The sequence below is a fragment of the Homo sapiens genome, chromosome 14 (genome assembly GCF_000001405.40).
Source record: "Homo sapiens chromosome 14, GRCh38.p14 Primary Assembly".
In the NCBI taxonomy this organism is placed as follows: domain Eukaryota; kingdom Metazoa; phylum Chordata; class Mammalia; order Primates; family Hominidae; genus Homo; species Homo sapiens.
Window position 1 is genome coordinate 20864579 of NC_000014.9, and position 20612 is coordinate 20885190.

Below are 20612 nucleotides of genomic sequence, written 5' to 3' on the forward strand. Positions count from 1 at the left end.
TACAAACCACTGCTCAATGAAATAAAAGAGGACACAAACAAATGGAAGAACATTCCATGCTCATGGATAGGAAGAATCAATATCGTGAAAATGGCCATACTGCCCAAGGTAATTTATAGATTCAATGCCATCCATATCAAGCTGCCAATGACTTTCTTCACAGAATTGGAAAAAACTACTTTAAAGTTCATATGGAACCAAAAAAGAGCCCGCATCGCCAAGTCAATCCTAAGCCAAAGGAACAAAGCTGGAGGCATCACGCTACCTGACTTGAAACTATACTACAAGGCTACAGTAACCAAAACAGCATGGTACTGGTACCAAAACAGAGATATAGACCAATGGAACAGAACAGAGCCCTCAGAAATAATACCACACATCTACAGCCATCTGATCTTTGACAAACCTGACAAAAACAAGCAATGGGGAAAGGATTCCCTATTTAATAAATGGTGCTGGGAAAACTGGCTAGCCATATGTAGAAAGTTGAAACTGGATCCCTTCCTTACACCTTATACAAAAATTAATTCAAGATGGATTAAAGACTTAAATGTCAGACCTAAAACCATAAAAACCCTAGAAGAAAACCTAGGCAATACCATTCAGGACATAGGCATGGGCAAGGACTTCATGTCTAAAACACCAAAAGCAATGGCAACAAAAGCCAAAATTGACAAATGGGATCTAATTAAACTCAAGAGCTCCTGCACAGCAAAAGAAACTACCATCAGAGTGAGCAGGCAACCTACAGAATGGGAGAAAATTTTTGCAATCTACTCATCTGACAAAGGGCTAATATCCAGAATCTACAAAGAACTTAAACAAATTTACAAGAAAAAAATCAAGCAACCCCATCAACAAGTGGGTGAAGGATATGAACAGACACTTCTCAAAAGAAGACATTTATGCAGCCAACAGACACATGAAAAAATGCTCATCATCACTGGCCATCAGAGAAATGCAAATCAAAACCACAATGAGATACCATCTCACACCAGTTAGAATGGCAATCATTAAAAAGTCAGGAAACAACAGATGCTGGAGAGGATGCAGAGAAGTAGGAACACTTTTACACTGTTGGTGGGACTGTAAACTAGTTCAACCATTGTGGAAGACAGTGTGGTGATTCCTCAGGGATCTAGAACTAGAAATACCATTTGACCCAGCCATCCCATTACTGGGTATATACCCAAAGGATTATAAATCATGCTGCTATAAAGACACATGAACATGTATGTTTATTGCAGCACTATTCACATTAGCAAAGACTTGGAACCAACCAAAATGTCCATCAATGATAGACTGGATTAAGAAAATGTGGCACATATATACCATGGACTACTATGCAGCCATAAGAAAGGATGCACTCGTGTCCTTTGTAGGGATATGGATGAAGCTGGAAACCATCATTCTGAGCAAACTGTTGCAAGGACAGAAAACCAAACACCACATGTTCTCACTCATGGGTGGGAATTGAACAATGAGAACACTTGGACACAGGATGGGAAACATCACACAGTGGGGCCTGTCGTGGGGTGAGGGGAGGGGGGAGGGATAGCATTAGGAGATATACCTAATGTAAATGACGAGTTAATGGGTGCAGCACACCAACATGACACACGTATACATATGTAACAAACCTGCACGTTGTGCACATGTACCCTAGAACTTAAAGTATAATAATAATAAATTAAAAAGGAGAAAGAAAAAAAAGTTAGGAAATTTGGAAAAGTCATAAATCTAAAAACAAAATTTAAAAAAAAACTAGTCAGCTATAATCTCACCAACCAAAGATAAACACTCTTCAAATTTACAAGTTTCCAGCCAGGTTTTTTGCTGATTATATTAAAAACTAAAATGTGGGTACTATTTTATGGCTGCTCTCTGTCTCTCTCTCTTTTTTTTTTATTGCTTAACAACATAAAGGGAATGCTTTCCCATTTCCATACATATTCTCCTCGAGTGCATTTATAATGGCAGCATAGTTTTGCATCCTACAGATGTGCCATCACCTGTTTGGCTTTTCTCTTATTGCTGAGTATTTCAATTATTTTTCCTACTCAAGAAAACAGCCTGGGAGCTCATTAACTGTTTGAAATTTTGCCCTCGGTGGTAGTGGCCTCTTCCAAAGAGGTGTTTTGAGTGCATGTGACTACCAGGGTGGGAACTTGTTCTTGTTGAAGTTCTTGTTCTTTGTTTCAGTTTAGAGTGTTAAAAACATATGTCACTGCTGGCAAAAGGACACTACATGCAATTTGAACCAAAAACCCTTATTTATTAACCCACTAAAAGATATCTACATCAGCCTACAGGGCTATTGACATTCTATAGACGAAGTCAAAGTGCAGGAGGGAGCAAGAACAACCTCAGACCCATGGTGTGCTTGCTTGACTTCAGATACTTATAATTTTGTTCTCCTTCAAATCTTCTCCAGGTGAGCATAAAAAAAATGGATGTACTCTTCCAGAATTTTCCTTCACCTACTTTATGAAAATAGTCATTTTTCACCTTCCTCCAGATTTCAAAAACGCCAGCAAAGCTTGATTTGGGAAGTGGTGCCCCCTGCTGCAGAGATGTTGCAGAGAGAAAATTCCTTGTGCTCTTCTGTCAGTGAGGAACTGCTCCAAGTCATTCACACTCCTTCACCTCGGTTTCTAGTAGGCTGATGACAGGGAGTGAGAGATGGAAACTCAGTTCCCTCAAAGGAATCTGGCCAGCTCAGGCTGTGGGCCTCAGTTGTGGGGAAGATTGAGTTATGATGGGAGATTCCTTATAGTTCTAAGACATGTGGAGATGAATTAGAAGGAAGCTAACCAATATTGCACAGATATTGTGCTGTGTATGATTCGTTTATGTATTTATAAAGGATGCCTCGTTCCCCACTAAAGTGCATTTGTTTTGATAGAGGGTTTTCACTCCACTTGGTCAAATTACAAATATGTTGTTATTAAGAAATTTCATAACTATGTTTATGTAAAATGTGGTTTTAAATGTAATTTTTGAGAGAATTTATTTAAAAGGGAAAAACATGCTTATATGTGAAAAGTGGGTAATATAAACATGTTGCTTGTTTTTGAGAGAAAGTCTGTGGAAGAACTAATGAGAATCTAGGCTAAGGCTCCTATAAACTTCAATCTCTAGTGAGAGTTTTATCATAAAGTCCAGGCAGCTGTGCTGTCATTGAACATTGAGCATCAGTATCCCCATATCTCTAAAGGGGAATGCTAAGCTGAGTTTTCTGCAGACCACGACCACCAGCTTTTGAGGTAACTTTAGCCTCCTTATGCAGAAATGAGGAAGAAAATCTTGTAGGTGAGGATCAATGATGCACTAGCTGGGCATCAGTGGCAGCCTGACAGTAAGACACTGATTGTTCCTCTTAAGTTGGTGTATGTCTGTCACTATTACCCTACACATTAGCTTGCTCCCTGCTAGCTTATTGACAGAAACAAATGTAAATGCTGCATTAATCAAGTGTATATGTGTCATAAATATTTTCTCTTAGTATGGCCTATACTTTGAAATCCTGAACCTAAGGGTTTTGGGTTTAACCTTTGGTTATCACTCAAAATGAAACACCTATGTTTTCTTGTAGATCTTGTCCAGAATGGCCTGCTGAATCCTTGAAAGCCGTAAGAGAGACGTATAGCAACCTATTCTGAATCAACTTGTTCAATCTAGCAATTCTGTCACTCTAAGAGAATCTTCTCAGCCTCGTACTCCTTTCTTGGACAACCACTACTTTAAAAGCAGGATCATGTTCAATGGCATTCTGGCAATACAGATGTCCATTAAGTAGAAATGCACAATGTCTACTTGTTGAATATCTAATTGTTCTCCAAATTTATTAACAGGATCTTCTATCTTGATAGGAAAAAAAAATTCATATTTTGAAATCTATCTATCTATCTATATAGATAGATAGATATATTTTCTTTCTGAGAATATATATATTTTTTCTTTTTGAGATGGAGTTTTACTCTTGTTGCCCAGGCTGGAGTGCAATGGCACAGTCTCAGGTCACTGCAACATCCACCTCCTGGGTTCAAGCGATTCTCCTGCCTCAGCCTCCCGAGTAGCTGGGATTACAGGCACCTGCCACCATGCCTGGCTTATTTTTGTATTTTTAGTACAGACGGGGTTTCACCATGTTGGCCAGGCTGGTCTCAAACCCTTGACCTCAAATGATCCACCCGCCTCGGCCTCCCAAAGTGCTGGGATTAGAGGCGTGAGCCACTGCACCTGGCTATATATATATTTTTAGAACTCCTTCTTTCCACAGTGTAGAAAGTACACATTACAAAGCTCAGTCAAATGCCAGGAACTTAAACATCCACACATTAGCATAAATTGTTAATTAATTTCTCAAAAAAAGAAAAAAATGCATCTCACTTGAATTCCAGGGAATCAACCTAAAGTATACTGAGATTCCTAAACTGAACCTTAAAACACAAGACACAGAATCAAAAGTCAAAGAACAAAAGGAACATTCTTCAGCAGGAGATAGGGAGCTGGTTTTAGAAACAGGTGGAGATCACCGAGTCTCAGCATAAGCAAAAGCAACACAGAAACCTAGGCTTTTGAAAAATGTCTAAAATACAGCAAAAGAGAAGGCATTCGAATGTTTTTGTGTAGTAATAGCAGGCTACTAATACAGGAATACAGACTATATTAATCCATGACATTTCAGTGAAACAATAAAAACAACTCTTTGGACATCCAGAAACAAAGGATGTTTTATCTAGTTAACTTTTTTTTTTTTTGAGACAGGGTCTGGCTCTGTCTCCCAGGCTGGAGTGCAGCAGCCCAACCTCGGCTCACTGTGACCTCCACCTCCTAGGCTCAAGCGATCCTCCCACCTCACCCTCCTGAGTAGTCGGGACTACAGGCGTGTGCCACTACGCCCGGCTAATTTTTGTATTTTTTGTAGAGATGGGGTTTCACCATGTTGCCCAGACTGGTCCCAAATTCCTGGACTTAAGTGATCCACTCACCTCACCCTCTCAAAGTGCTGGGATTACAGGCATGAACCACTGCCCCTGGCCCCCTTTTTATTCATATGTGAAGACAATAGAAAGACATTCTTCCATCACTAATATTTACTTAATTAACATTTCTGAGTGCCTTTGATATGACAAGCACTATGCTAAGTGCCATATAGGGAGAGGTGAACAAAACAGACAGGTGCTTGTATCCTAGAAAACTTTGCCTCTGCACACCTTGCTTGTGATAATAATTATAGGGCATATGCCAAACACTGAGCTATAAATCTATGAAGGAAGGATGTTGCTTACTTATCACAAGTGATAACCAGTGATACCAGTATCTATGAGCCATAGAAAAAAAGATTGCCTATTTCCCTGACTAGCTCAGAGGGATACAGCTTAATTCAGAAGATAAAACCTTTTCTTTTTTTTTTCTTTGAGATGGAGTCTTGCTCTGTCGCCAGGCTGGAGTGCAGTGGCGCAGTCTCGGCTCACTGCAACCTCCACTTCCCGGGTTCAAGCAATTCTCCTGTCTCAGCCTCCCGAGTAGCTGGGACAACAGGTGCACGCCACCACGCCCAGCTAATTTTTATATTTTTAGTAGAGACAGGATTTCACCATGTTGGCCAGGTTGGTCTTGATCTCTTGACCTCGTGATCCGCCTGCCTCAGCCTCCCAAAGTGTTGGGATTACAGGCGTGAGCCACTGCACCAAGCCAAGAAAACTCTTTCTTTATGGCAGCATTAGGCACCCCCAATAAGAGCCCACTCACATCATCATGATAGACAGAAACACTGCAGGGGGAAAAATGATCTTGCCTTTGGGCACCAGGACATTGGGACCTCCCAAGTAGTCTGCATCAGTGGATCATAAGGACCAACCATTTATCAAATCTGGGAAAGACAAAAGGCAAGCATAAGATTAAAAAGTAATGCAGGTCTTCGCCAGATGGCTCTGCTGCTTAATAAGTAAAATCACAATCACAGAAGGTGATAACCAAGGATAATTAGGTAAACGACCACACTCCATTTAATCACAGTTCAGAAGATCTTCCCTAATTTCTGCTGAAGTCTCTTCAATAATTTCACCTACCTCTGGAAGAAACTAGAGGACTAATGGGAAGAGTCCATTGGTGTTTATGTGGGAAAAGGAAGGTGCAAGCCATTTCAGCTCAAGGAAAGAAAGGAAGGGAGGGAGGGAGGAAGAAAGAGAAAGAGAAATGAGGAAAGGAAGGAACGGAAAAGAGAGAAAAGAAGAAAGGAGGGTAGAAGAAAGAAAGGAGGGAGGGAGGAAAGAAGAGAAACTGACTTTCCAAAGACACAGCTGAAGCAGCAGCTAAGAGGTAACATTATGAAAGTATGGGGTATCATTCTTCAGGATGCAGTGTATTTATTAAATCAGAGGCCTGTAAAGGGTACTGTGTTCCCAATAGGAAGAATACACGGATCCAGGAACCGAGAAGTAGAAGCAGGAGTAGCTCCACTTACCATCTCTCTGATTGACCCACTCAGATATGTTGTGCTTTCATTTCTGTAACTCTAGGCTCTGCAGGGTCAAAGGTCCAGGTCCCCAAAGAAGATGCACCCTTGCCAACTTACACAGAAAGGTCTCATTGAACTGCAAGCTACAGCTTTTCCCAGGACACTTTGGATTTCTCGTGTCTAGGGACCAGCAGACGTGAAGAGGAGTTGCCATACTGTCAAGGCTAAGTAACCTTGATTAGCAGGAGGGAGGTAGGGCTGCTTTTACCCAATAGAGGCAGAAAAGAATTTATGTAGAACCCAAGTAATCTACTTGGGTGCTTTCTGTTACTCCCATGCTCCATTTTAACTGTGAATGTAAGTGTGTAGCCACCTCAGCCTGAGAAAAATATGATTACCAAGGGCTTAACCCTCAGAACTGGTGAGAGGGTAAATAAGAATAAGCAACTAAGACCTAAGGGTAAAGGGAGATTAGAATACATAGTAAAGGAAGGAGTGGATGGGTGCTAGTTACAGCCCCAAGATCTGCGGCATTGACAGTGACTACAGTTTGTTTGTCCACAGTAAACTTCCTCTTAAGTTTCCCTTCAGGAACAGAGACTGGTAGGAAGCCTGGAGGAGTTGTCTCTTGAACCTGTCTGGGGAAGCAGATCTGTGTGGCTCAAGAGGTGGACCTGGCCAGGCACGGTGGCTCACACCTGTAATCCCAGCACTTTGGGAGGCTGAGGAGGGCAGATCACCTGAGGTAAGGAATTCAAGACCAGCCTGGCCAACATGGTGAAACCCTGTCTCTACTAAAAATACAAAAATTAGCTGGGTGTGGTGGCGCATGCCTGTAATCCCAGCTACTCAGGAGGCTGAGGAAGGAGAGTTGCTTGAACCCAGGAACCGAAGGTTGCAGTGAACCGAGATTGTGCCACTGCACTCCAGCCTGGGTGACTGAGTGAGACTCAATCTCAAAAAAAAAGACGGACCCATTCTAAAAAAGTTTCTACATGAGTTTATAAGTACTCGCTTCTGCATGTCTGAAAAAATCTCTGTCTAATAAGAGAGACACACCTCAAAAGTTTTATCAATAAAAAAGGTACAAAAAAGTCAGAATAAAAATAGGACATAAAATCAATGCTATAAATATTAAACAGATTATGAATAACTTTGTGCTAATATATTTGGGAACTTTAGACGAAATGGATAAATTCCTACGTGGGAAAAAACAATCTACCAAAGCTTTCTCAAGAAGAAATGGAAAAGTTAGCATCTCTTTAACCATTAAGGAAATTGAAACAGAAGTTTAAAATAGTTTGAGGCTAAGCCTGGTGGTGTGTACCTGTAGACCCAGCTACTCTGGAGGCTGAGGCAGCAGGATTATTCGAGATCAGGAGTTCAAGCCCAGGAGTTTGAGGCACCTGAGACCGAGTGTTCAAGGATCAGTTGAGACCAGTAATTCGAGGTATGCTCTGTGATTGCACCTGTGAATAGCCACTGCACACTAGCCTGGGCAACATAGGAAGACCCATCTCCAAAAAAAAAAAAAAAGGAAAAGAAAAAAGAAAAAGCAGTCTCAAAGAAAATAAGAAAATATCAGGACCAAACAGCCTTACATGTGAGTTCTACCAAGTATTAAAATAACATATAATTCCAGTTACAAAATAAAGAAGGACTACTCCCCAATTCATTTCTGGAAGCTAACATATAACCTAGATACCAAAATTAAACAAGGCAATACAAAAAATTACAGACCAATCTCATTCGTGAACATAAATGCAAAAAAAATTTAACAAAATATTAGCAAATTAAATTTAGTCATATATAAAAAAGATTATATCACATAACCAAAATGGGTTTATCCCAGGAATACAAGGTTGGTTTAGTATTCTAAAATCAACTAATCTAATTCACCCCATTAACTGATTAAAGAAATATGCTGTATAATCCCATCATTCAACGAAATTCCCAATCCATTCAAGAGACATAAACAGGAGCAGAAGGGAAGAAACTTTTCTAATCTAAAAATGGGCATCTACAAAAGATCCACAGCAACAACCAGACCTACCAAAATGGCCCCTTAAAGATTTCTTGAAGGCACTTTTATAGCGAGCATTAGGCTAAGTGCTGAATGTCAAGAACAAAGGCAAAACAGCTATACCTCCTGGCATCGGGGGAAGGAATGAAAGTAATAGTATCCAGTTTTGTCACTGGATTATTCCAAAAGGGTAAAATCCTCACGCAACTCTGTTCCACAGGCACCGGGCTAGTCAGTTAATGGACGGCTGCCCTAGAGTCAAGTGCCCTCCTTTGCTTCAAAACCTTGTCACCATTCTGCTGGAGTCACAGGGTAGAGAATATGAACACCTTTGGATGCTTCCTCTCGTGGATAAAATAACCTCCTTCAGAAGGGGATCGGTGATGTAATGGATTCCATGAAAGAAATAAACTCTTCTCCAGCGCAGCTGAACTGTAAAGCTCATAACACAAGTAGGTCCTCAGTGCATATTCACTTCCTTTCCTTCTTACCTGAGGTGCTGCAGTGTGAATCTGAAGGTGGCAGGTTCAACGTTAAAGTGCTGCAGTGTATGAAAGTTATGGTAGACTCAGAAATCTGTTCTTCAACAGTTAGACTGTATTTATGCTGGCTGGATTTTGTTTATTCACCTATTATCGTCTACCCGTGTCAGCAACCAAGAAACCTGCAGCCTGTCTCAAAGGAAACCAAGAAAGAAGTTTTGGACTCTTGTGCAGGAAGCTTGTGGCGCGGCGCCCCCTGCCGACCAATACGACGGCCACGGGAACTGGGAGACCACGAAGGCTCTGGGCCTGCGGAGTTGCCCAAGCTCCTCCGGCTTCTCCGGAAACGGCTTTTTCCGGTGACACCCCTGGAGCCACAGTGATTTGTTTCCCTAAAGGAAGCGGTTTCCCGCCAGGGTATCGTCCCTAATACCCTCCGAAGGAGCCCATTGAGGAGAAAGGCATAGAATGTCCCGCAGAAGGCAGAAGGACCCTATGATCCAGGAAACCTAGGGCCAGCCATCAGGAGGTTTTATGAGAGCAGCTGGTGGGAAGATCAGCCCCAGGAGAAGGGGATTGTCTAGCAGCTTGGTTGGAGCAAGTCTTTTCCCGAGTATTATTTCCGTAATTCAGGCTCCCTCCCACCAACCCTCCACTGCAGCCTTATCCTCCACCAAAAGCCCTGACACTGTGGCAGGGGTAGGGCACATGGGGTTGGTGGGGAACAGGCTGTAAGAAAGACGCAGGAGCCTGCGTGCAAAGGACGAAGCATTTACAAAGAAGACCTTGACAGTGCTGCACAGATTTGAAGGCGTAGGGTGCAAGTCATTCAGGTGCCGTTGTCAGGAGGAACCTAGCCATCCAGGTGAACAGATGCCCCCTTCTTGCAGCCCACTCGCATGGGCCTGGTGGACTCCTTCTTATTTTTGGTAGTGGCAGTGAAGAGGTCGGGTCCCTGTGCTGGCAAAGCAGTCAGTGACATTGACATCATGAGTACTGTTGTGGCAGCTGCACATGGAGGGGCTGTTGGTACAGGGCAGTGGTGGAGTTCTGCAGAAATCTGCTATGGTGGTCAGATTCTATGAATGAATGTGTGGATCTGCTCGCATTTACCCCTATAGATCAGCCAACGGCACCTCATCATCACATCACAGTATCGGTGGTGTCCTCTAGGGACCCACGACCTGGGGTTGTCTAAATGTCGTGTTGAGAAGGGCAGGGCTGGAATGAAGACAGTTACGTCCAAAAGGAGGAAAAGGAGGAGGGTCCACATCAGATTCATGTTTCCTGTGAAAGCATTTCAAAGAAGAGCAGAGTCAAAAGAACAAGCCACGGTCCCTTGTCCTGTTCCTAAGAAGTCTTGGCCCTATACTTAATGTTCCCAGTTCTCCCCTCCTGCCTTTTCTACACTTATTCTTTGTGTACTCTTGGCAACAAGTGTTCTCACATCCTTTTTCCACCTCCTTGTCAATAACGGAGATGACTACCGCCCTCTCAACCCTTTATGGGATTGTCCTATGTACAAGGTTATTTCCAAACCCCAAAGTGATTCTTGCTCCTTACCTAAGCAGACCAGTTAAACTAAAAACTTTCATCTCTGAGGTGTTTGCATCTATCAGTCCATCTGCTGCTCACCCATAGCCTGTGAGGTGAGGCAGGTATCATTGCCAACCCCTTTTTAGAGTGACCTAACTCAGAAGAGAATTGACAGATCCATATGACCTGCATCTTAGAAAATATTTTCACTTCCTTAAATACAAATGTCTGTTTAAACGCTGTTTTTAAAAATGTGAGCATTTCAATTCTAAGGGAGTAGAGTTTATGTTTCCCCCACATATTTCTCTGCCTCAAAATAAAGATTCCCAACTCTTCCATGTATAGAGCCCATCTTCCAGAAATGTTCTAATTCTTGGTGATCAGGGATTCTGGGTGACTGTGTGTGAGCCTTCTGTCTCTAGGTCTAATATCTGACTCTTTTTTTACATACCTGGTAGTTCCAAGAAAGGGTTTTCTGCAGAGCAGATGACATCCACAGAGATGGATATATCCCTCTCAGAGGTTGATACTCCTAGTAGAAATGGAATCCCCGTTGCCTCTCTCCTTCCTCTAATCTTGTAGAAATTTCATTGTGGATATTTTCTTCCCAGAGGTTAGGGTGCAGGCCGTATGGAAAACTCTCAGGCCTGTCAATGATCTTAAACAGATTGCCAGGTATTACTAATTTTATGCTTACTATTTCACACCTAAAATGTTCACCAGCATCACACAGAGTGCCTATGACATCACTGCAAATATGCAGAAACTTGGGGTTTAGTGTCTATCATAAGCTTGCTACTGGAGCTTGGCAAATCACCTTATCCTTCTACTCCTCATCACTAAAGTGAAGATTATAGACAAAAGATCTCTTTCAGCTCTCACATTCTGTATTTTTTTTATACATTACTGTGTGGGTTCATGTGTGATTTTGTATATGTGCATATTGGTATACACATGTTCAAGTAAGGAGAAATAATTAGTTTGCAAATTGAGTTTCCATTTGAGAATTGTTAATCTAATTAAGTGCAATTTTTCCAATTTTAAAACTCTATGATGGCTGGGCACGGTGGCTCACGCCTGTAATCCCAGCACTTTGGGAGGCCGAGGTGGGTGGATTGCCTGAGGTCAGGAGTTTGAGACCAGCCTGGCCAACATGGTGAAATCCTGTCTCTACCAAAAATACAAAAATTAACTGGGCATGATGGCAGGCACCAGTAATCCCAGCTACTCAGGAGGCTGAGACGGGAGAATCACTTGAACCCGGGATACAGAGGTTACAGTGGTCCGAGATTGCATCATTGAACTCCAGCCTAGGTGACAAGAGCAAGACTTCATCTCAAAAACAAACAAAAAAAAATTATGGGTATGTAGTAGGTGTATATATTTAAGGGGTACATGAGATATTTTGGTACAGGCATCCAATGCCTAATAATCACATCAGGGTAAATGGGGTATCCATCCCTTCAAGCATTTTTTCTTTATGCTACAAACAAGCCAATTTAAATCTTTTAGTTATTTTAAAATGTACAATAAAATTATTATTGATGATAGTCACCCTATATTTGTGCTATCAAAACTAGATCTTATACATTCTTTTTTCTTTTTGAGACCGAGTCTTGTTCTGTCGCCCAGACTGGAGTGTAGTGGCATGATCTTGGCTCAGTACAACTTCTGCCTCCTGGGTTCAAGTGAGTCTCCTGCCTCAGCCTCCCAAGTAGCTGGGATTACAGGCATATGCCACCATGCCCAGCTAATTTTTGTATTTTTAGTAGGAACGGTGTTTAGCCATGTTGGCCAGGCTGGTCTTCAACCCCTGACCTCAGGTGATCTGCCGCCTCAACTTCCCAAAGTGCTAGGATTACAGGTGTGAGGCACTGTGCCCAGCCTATTCATTCTATTTTTTTTTTTTTTTTTTACCCATTAACCATTAACTTCCCCCTCACCCACCCTCCAATGCTAGGCACTTTGAATCAAATAAAATGAAAGGGTGTTAGAATCAGCCTCAGAACCAAGGACTTTCTTAACTTCTCCTGTTTTGCCCCTAAGTGCAGGATGAAACTCTTCCTTTCTGAAGTTACCTTATCCAAAGCTCCTCCAGAAAGAACCCAGTGGACTTTGATCACCTCCCTGAGATTTTCTTAACCAGAGAAGATTAAACTCACAGCAGAAAGTGAGACTGAGGGATGTCACCACACCTAGGCAGACTTTGTCAGAAGCTGTTGTCTATTCTTTGTCATACTCCAAAGAGTTTCCAAAGAGTATAATTTACAAACTATGGTAGGTTCTTTGGGCCCATTCAACTCTCCTAAAAATAATTTCCTATTCCTCAAAATTGCCTACATTCCGCCATCTCTCTCTCTCCTGTGAAGAAGGGCATATAGATTCTGAACCTCACTGGGTTACTGGGAAGTCACTCTCTCATCATTCCCCCATGAATACAATAAACTTGCCTTTTTCTGCAGCTAATCTTCCATCGGTTAATTTCGGCAAACTCAAACCTTAAAGGGAAAGGGAAATTCCCCTTTACCCCTACATATGCAAATTAATTATTTAGATTAATAATTGCTAGATATAAAATTGGCATATGGTTTATTTATTTTTATATTTCAGCACAGGGGAGGGAAAAATGACTTCCTTCCACCCTCTTAGGTTTTTTGTGGCTGGGCTACAAGTTAAATTACATAAGACGGATTAACACAAGAAAAACTGTATTAAATTATGTGTGTATACATAGGAGTCCCACAAAAATATAAGACTCAAAGAAAGGCCAGATGAATAAAGCTTATATAGCATCTTAAGCTACAGAAAGAAACAGAGGCTTGGGGCTTCTGGAGAGTGGTGGTGCAAGTTACCGGAGCGTGAGAGGAGGAAACATATAGTAAATACATGGTAAATAAAGGTTGCCTTGTTATGCAGATAAGAGTCTCTCAGGGGATAAAAATTGCCTTGGAGCAGCTCTCTTCCTGATCAAAAACACCTTTACCAGTGAAAATTTCTTTTATAGATCTAAATTTCTTTTACAAAAGGGCAGCTTTTCAGAGCTAACTCCTGTGCGGGCAGTTTCTCTAAATAAATAGTTAATAATCAATATGCTAGAGAGGAATATTTTGGAGTGATGTGTTCTGAGCCCTAACCCCAGCAACAGGCAGAAACTGAAATGTTAAAATGATTCAATTTGCAATACTATTAAAAATATTAAGTTCATAAGGAGAAAAACTAGGAAAAGATAAACAAGAACTTTATGGACAAAAGTACAAAACTTTATTGTGAGACATTAAGGTAACCAGAGAGTTAGAGCATGTTTATAGATTGCAAGACTCACTAATTTAGATACATCAATTTTTCTGCAAATTGACCTATAGATTTGTAATTGCCTGATGGGTTCTTCCTGCCTGCTGCACAGACAAAATCAGTTCACTGAGACCATGGCATTGCAGTAAAGAAAGGGTTTCATTGACACAAGACTGGCAACGAGGGAGACAGAGTTATTACTCAAATCAGTCTTCCTGCAGGCTTGGAGGTTAGGGGTTTGCGAGGATAGTTTGGTGGGCAGGTGGCTAGAGAATGGGTGCTGCTGATTGGCTGGGAATGAAATCATATAGGTGTGAAAAACAATCCTCGTGGGCTGCCTCGTGGGCTGAGTCTGCATCTGGGTGGAACCACATGACTGGTTGAGTTATGAGCCCTGGTTCCATAGGTTGCCAGAATGCAAAAATCTGAAAAAACATCTCAAAAGACAAAACTCAGGTTCCACAGTAGTGATGTTACCTATAGGAGCAATTGGAGAAGTGACAAATCTTGTGACCTCTGGTCACGTGACCCTTGAGCAGTAAGGGATTATAGAAAATACATTTCATCAGAATTCAGGAGCCTCTCATAATCCTAACCTTGCAGCCTTTCACTAGTTTTACAGAGTTTTGGGAAAGGCTACTATCATCCTCACTTTACAGTTGAACTATAAACTAAATTCCACCTGATGTAGGTTGGCCTATGCCCAGGAATGACCATGGACAGCTTGGAGGTTAGAAGCAAGATAAAGTCAACTATGTCAGATTTCTCTTACTGTCAAAATCTTTGCAAAGGCAGTTTCAGATTCAGTACAATTCCAATCAAATTCTCAACCCAGTTTTTGTTTGTTTAGTTTGGGAACTTACTGATTCTAGAGGATATATAGATGTATAAGAATAGCAAAGACACCTTCAAAAAAAACAAACTAAAAAACAAGGTGAGAGAGTTTGTTCTACCAGAGTACATATAAAATAGAAAACAATATCTTGTTACATAAAAGCCTAGTATTGCTCATTGACAGGTAGCCTTGTTCCATGTATCATTCAGAGACACAGATTACTTCCATCTTGTGGTTCTGTCATTTCCTCATCCATTTAATGTAGCTGGCAAACAGAATAGAAGGTGGAGAAGCACACTTTCTCAACTGCGTTGGCCATTTTTCACTGGCATGGCCTTCAAGTGGGAACTATAGTTCCTACCTGAGCTGTCGCTTCTCAGCATCAACCCTACACCATGCAAGAGTGAGCATAAGCCTGAGGGCAGCTAGTTACTACAGCCACAGCAATGTAAATGGTGTTGCCAGTTTCCTCTTTGTCACAGATAGGACAAGAATAGATGCAATACAGTTAAATATGAAAGTAGAGAGAAATCTAACACAGAGTTTCCCAAAAATGAGTTAGATAAGACCCAGGAACTTGTGCAAACTCTCATCAGTGATCGACACCATGTCAACAAACTTGCAAGGAGAAAGAAAGGTCAATCCCAAAACTGGACCAAAAACACTTTATCTCCTTATTAGAAAACAATGGCAACATTAATAATACTACACTGCAATATCATATTTAGATGTATGGGCCAGAGAAGTGGGACGTGGACATTAAAAATGAGTCCTAGGAGGCCTGTGATAATTGGGTACTGGCTGCTCAAGAGAGGCCAAGTAACCAAAAAAAGAGCTATCATGTAGGACAGCACACATTTAAGGAAGCCTACCCTGTGCCAGAACGGGGCTGGGAGACGGACTCAAAGATAACCAAGACATGGACCCTTCTCTCAGGAACTGTCAGCCCAGTGGTTCTGGTACCAGAGGGGAAGGACCTCCTCTTAGCAGGTGCAAAGGTGAATAAAGTGATGATGGAGCTGTGGCCCACTAGAGGATGATGCAAGTACAGACATCGGGATGGGGAATACTGGTTGTTTGGAGGTGAGCTAGTTTTCTTTTTGAAAATCATATTCCTGTTTTATTTGAAAAACCAGTCCTCCACCTTGCTCCCGTCTGTGGCTTGGATGGACTGGCTCCACCCCAGCTCCAGTAATGAGCTACTCAGTGTGTGTGTCTCATTAGATGAGATGGGCACTTGTCCCAGTCAGAGACCTTTGCTAGGAATATTGGGAGATGAAGGCAGGACTTCATCTTGAGAGACTGGAAGATGTGGAGTTGCTGCTGTCATCTTACAGATATACAAGGAACATCTGCCTGATAGTGGGACTATGATAGAGGAGAAAGAAACAGGAAAATACAGAGAAACCATGTACTGTTTTCATCGTCTAAGTTCTGATAAGCTGCTCATTAAGCCATAACAGTTTGTTATGGCTTAGGAGAGTTTAACTGTACATTCAGGTTCTTAGGCCCTCAGAAGAGATCAAGTTCTTGGGGGTAAGGGGTTTCAGTTGTGCTAAGTGGCCAAAAGAAGATTCTAGAGAATTTTGTCTTAGAACTCCATGAGCGTCATTTATTCATTTCCATACTGGTAGCCTTTAATTTAATATAATTTTTATTTATTTATTATTATTATTATTTGTAGAGACAAGGTCTTGCTATATTACCCAGACCGTTCTTGAACTCCTGGGCTCAAGTGATCCTCCCACCTTGGTCTCCCAAAGTGCTGGGTTTACAGCATGAGCCACCATACCTAGCCATGGGTAACATTTTAAAATAAAGTAGTCAAAATAGATCTCCTTGAGAAAATTATTATTATTATTATTATTTGAGATGGAGTCTAGCTCTGTTGCCAGGCTGGAGTGCAGTGGCGCGATCTCTGCTCACCACAACCTCTGCCTCCCAGGTACAAGTGATTCTCCTGCTTCAGCCTCCGGAGTAGCTGGGATTACAGGCATGCACCATCACGCCTGGCTAATTTTGTATTTTTAGTACAACAGGGGTTTCACCATGTTGGCCAGATGATCTCCATCTCCTGACCTCATGATGTGCCCACCTTGCTCTCCCAAAGTGCTAGGATTACAGGCGTGAGCCACCGCGCCCAGCTGAGAAAATTATTTTTAAGCAAAGACTTAGAGAGAGAGGAAGTTAGCTATGCACATTGTGGGTGCGGTGTGGTTAGGGTGGCCCTGAGATAGAGATATGCCTGGTGTGTTTACGGAACAGCTAAGAGGACAGGGAACTAGAGGAAATTGAGTGGGAAGGAGAAGAGTAGGAGATTAGTTTTGAAAAGCAAATGGTTTGGGAATATGGATCATGTAAGAGCACATGAGATTTTATAAGGATTTCATTTTACTCAGGGTGAAATGAAGAAGCACTAAAAGATTTTGAGTAGAGTTTCATGATCTGACTTATGTTTTAAAAGGACCCTCTAGCTGCTTGGGCTATCAGTGGTGGAAGCAGGAAGGCCAATGAGAATGCTTTTCCAGTAATTCTAGTGAAAGGTGATGGTGGCTCAGAACGGTGGTAGCAGTGAAGGCCATGAGAAGTGGCCAGATTCTGTGTGTGATTTGAAGGCAGAAAAAGACTTCTCTGACAGGTTGGATGTGGGATATACGAGAAAAGAAGGTTATTCAACAATTAGAGAAAATGGACTTACCTTCTCTTGAGATGAGGAATACTGAGGGAGGAACAACTTCGGGGGAAGAGTAGGAAAAGATGATCAGTGTTTCCTGGGGACATGCTAGGTTTGATATACTTATTAGACATTTAAGAAGAAATGTCACATAGAAAGTTGCTGTACAAGTATAGGGTTCAGGAGAGAGAGGTGTACTGAAGATTTGGGCATTGTTAGAAAATTAATGATATTAAAAGTGTAGAGGTAGAAAAAGTATGATATCTCTCCTCTCCCCTCATAAGGGTCTGACACTCCTATAGCAAAAGACAGGTTAACAAGAGAAAAGCATAACAAATTTACTTAAAGTTTTATGTGACTCAGAAACCTTCAGAATGAAGACCCAAAGACCCAGGCAAAACTGTCTAGATTTATGCTCAGGTTCAGTGAAGGATGGACAGCCATGTAGCAATGTAATTGGACAAAAAGGGTATGAGTTGATAGTAATAGGCTGAGGGAGGAACCCAGCACGGCCTGTCTGTTTAGATTTTTCTTGGACTCTCTGTATAGGAATTCTCCCTCCCAGCTATACAGCAAGACCCCCTCTGGAATCAGTCTTATGACCTACTATCAGACAAGGTAGGTCAGGTAATTTCTTTATGGCCAGCTCCTACACAGAATGGCAGAGGGAAGACTAGAGTAATATTTCTAGATTTTATGGGTGATTTGGGGAGAGGGGAGCAAGAGACTGGAAGACAGGAGAAGGTCAGAGAGACCTTGGTTCTGGAGGCTACTTCACGGAAAGTTAAGCCTGTTGGGGAGAAATGTCTTACTCCAAGTGCAAAGCTTCCCTCATGACCACTGTTGATGGGGTGGAAGAGTCTGGGGAATTCATTGAAGAGATATCCACATTACTGGATCTAGAGAAAGAAAATCTTGTCCTGGAGGTGAACAGGAAGAGGGTCCACATCTGTGTCACGTTTTCATCTCAGTGGAGGGAATAAGGAGAAGGAGAGTAGGGCATTGGTGTCTCAATGCCCGGAGATATTGTTCTCCTCTTAAGCATACCCCAGACCTCAGTACTTCTCGCATTTGTCTCCATCTCTCTTCGCTCCTCTAAGGACCCATCTGAGCTATTCACTTTACCACATCCTCCTTCCCTCTTACACATTCATCTCCGTATCACTCTCTTTTCTTTTCTTTCTTTTTTTTTTTTTTGACACGGAGTCTCGTCCTCTTGCCCAGGCTAGAGTGCACTGGCGTGATCTTGGGTCACTGCAACCTCCACCTTCCGGGTTCAGGCGATTCTCCTGCCTCAGCCTCCCGAGTAGCTGGGATTACAGGCATCTGCCATCATGCTCAGCTAATTTTTGTATTTTTAGTACAGATGGGATTTCACCATGCTGACCAGGCTAGTATCAAACTCCTGACCTCAACTGATCCACTCACCTTGGCCTCCCAAAGTGCTGGGATTACAGGGGTGAGCCACCATGCCCAGCCCCTCTCTCTTTTCTTCCTTCCCATTTCACTACTCTGGCCCTGCAGGTTTTCTTGGAAGTTTAGAGAGATTACAGACACACTCATCTCATTTTTTACAGCTTTAATTGAGGTATAATTTACAAATAAAACTTGTATATATTTAAGTTTTACAACTTCATGTTTTGATATACAAAAGCACTGTGAGATAATCATCACAATCAAGCTAATTGACATATCTGTCATCTCACATAGTTACCATTTTCTTTTCTTTTTCTTTTTTTTCGTGGTGAGAACACTTGTGGTCTATCCTTTTAGTAAATTTCAAATGTGCAATACAAAATTGCTAACTCTATTCATCTTGCTAAACACTGCATCTCCTGACCCATCTCAGTTTTGAATTGTACTAATAGAATACACATAGTACTAATATAATTCTCAAAGCAAAAATATATTTTCTTTTTTTTTCTTTTTCTTTTTTTTTTTTTTTTTTTATGAGACTGAGTCTCTCTTTATCACCCAGGCTGGAGTCCAAGGGCGCGATCTCGGCTCACTGCAACCTCCACCTCCCGAGTTCAAGCAATTCTCGTGCCTCAGCCTCTCGAGTAGCTGGGATTACAGGCACCCACCACCATGCCCGGCTAATTTTTGTATTATTAGTAGGGAAGGGTTTCAATATGTTGGCCAGGCTGGTCTCAAACTCTTGACCTCAAGTGAACACCTACCTCGGCCTCTGAAAGTGCTGAGATTACAGGCATGAGCCACTGCGCCCAGCCACAAAAAGATATTTTCTAATACTCAGTTCTATCATTATTTTTTTTAGTGTGCTTAACAGATCACTCTACCATTACTCTTCCTCAGCTGGAAAGTGAGGGGTTGGTATAAATGTCTTTAGGAGTTCCTTCCAGCTCAGACTATTTAGAAATCCGATACTCTGGAGCATAGGTATGTGTGTATGCATGTGTGTGTGTGTGTGTGTGTGTGCGCGCGCGTGTGTGTGTGTAGGAAAAAATGTAAAGGAAATTTGGTTGATATTTTTGTATTGTTTGTCTATGTATATCTGATTTTCCTAAATCATTATGAATTTAGGCAGAAACAGGCATAATTATCTGAAATAAAATTATTATATACAGATTACATCATTATTTTTAAACTATGCAAAAAAAACACGCTTGTAATCTATCTTATTGTAGAGAAGATATGAGGTCCTGTCATTTAGAACTGTCATTTAATGGAGCAAGAGAAAACATTAGCGCAAATACTATGGGATGAGCTCAAGCCCCTGAGATCTAGATTAGAGGACTGGTTAATAGCCTGGGAGATAACTCTCAGTAAACAAACAATAATGTAGTAGTTCCTCTTCTTGGTTATCTCCCTTCCCTTCACCTACCTCCAGTCTAATAGGTGACCAGGGGGCCCAAAACTCATTACATCCAAGAGGAAGCTTTGTTTGGCAGGTGCTATCTAGCCAAGAAAATCTCAGCATCACTGAACATTTACATACATTGTAATTTTTCACTAAGCATTGGAAAAAAGAAGGAACCCAGCACCACATGGGGGTAGCCATTTCATTCAAGGCATTTTTATTAAGGCTCACAAAAGGACTGTCTTGTAGGTAACCCTCGCTTCTACTATTTTAGAGACACCGTAGACTTTCACCTGTGCTCAGGATGCAGGGTGTCCCACCACCAGACTTACTAGGTTTGTGTATTTGTGATATAAGAAACAAAGAATGTTAACATTTCCCTGGTAGAAAAGAGAAGATAAGTGCCTTGTTTGAGGTCCCGTGTTGGTGAATAGCAGAGTTTGTGAAGTGAAACTCTAATCTTTTTTTAAGTCCATTACTTTAG

The 20612-nt window shown here is 41.7% G+C and overlaps 1 long non-coding RNA gene across 1 annotated transcript in view, besides 2 other annotated features; it reads right to left on the minus strand.

The window, feature by feature from the left end:
• Positions 1-5656: 5656 nt before the first annotated feature.
• Positions 5657-20612, minus strand: part of LOC100507513 (uncharacterized) — a 66589-nt gene continuing 51633 nt past the window's right edge. The window contains exons 2-4 of the long non-coding RNA XR_110261.4: positions 10959-11165; positions 8981-10258; positions 5657-5878 (exon numbers count right to left, since the gene is read on the minus strand). This is a non-coding gene — a long non-coding RNA (uncharacterized LOC100507513). The remainder of the gene's footprint in view (positions 5879-8980; positions 10259-10958; positions 11166-20612) is intronic.
• Positions 9214-9313: an enhancer, noted in NCBI's record as "active region_8096". NCBI's record gives its function as "activates an Ori minimal core promoter by ATAC-STARR-seq in GM12878 lymphoblastoid cells {active_cell/tissue: GM12878}" and the evidence as "EXISTENCE:reporter gene assay evidence [ECO:0000049][PMID:35858748]".
• Positions 9424-9473: an enhancer, noted in NCBI's record as "active region_8097". NCBI's record gives its function as "activates an Ori minimal core promoter by ATAC-STARR-seq in GM12878 lymphoblastoid cells {active_cell/tissue: GM12878}" and the evidence as "EXISTENCE:reporter gene assay evidence [ECO:0000049][PMID:35858748]".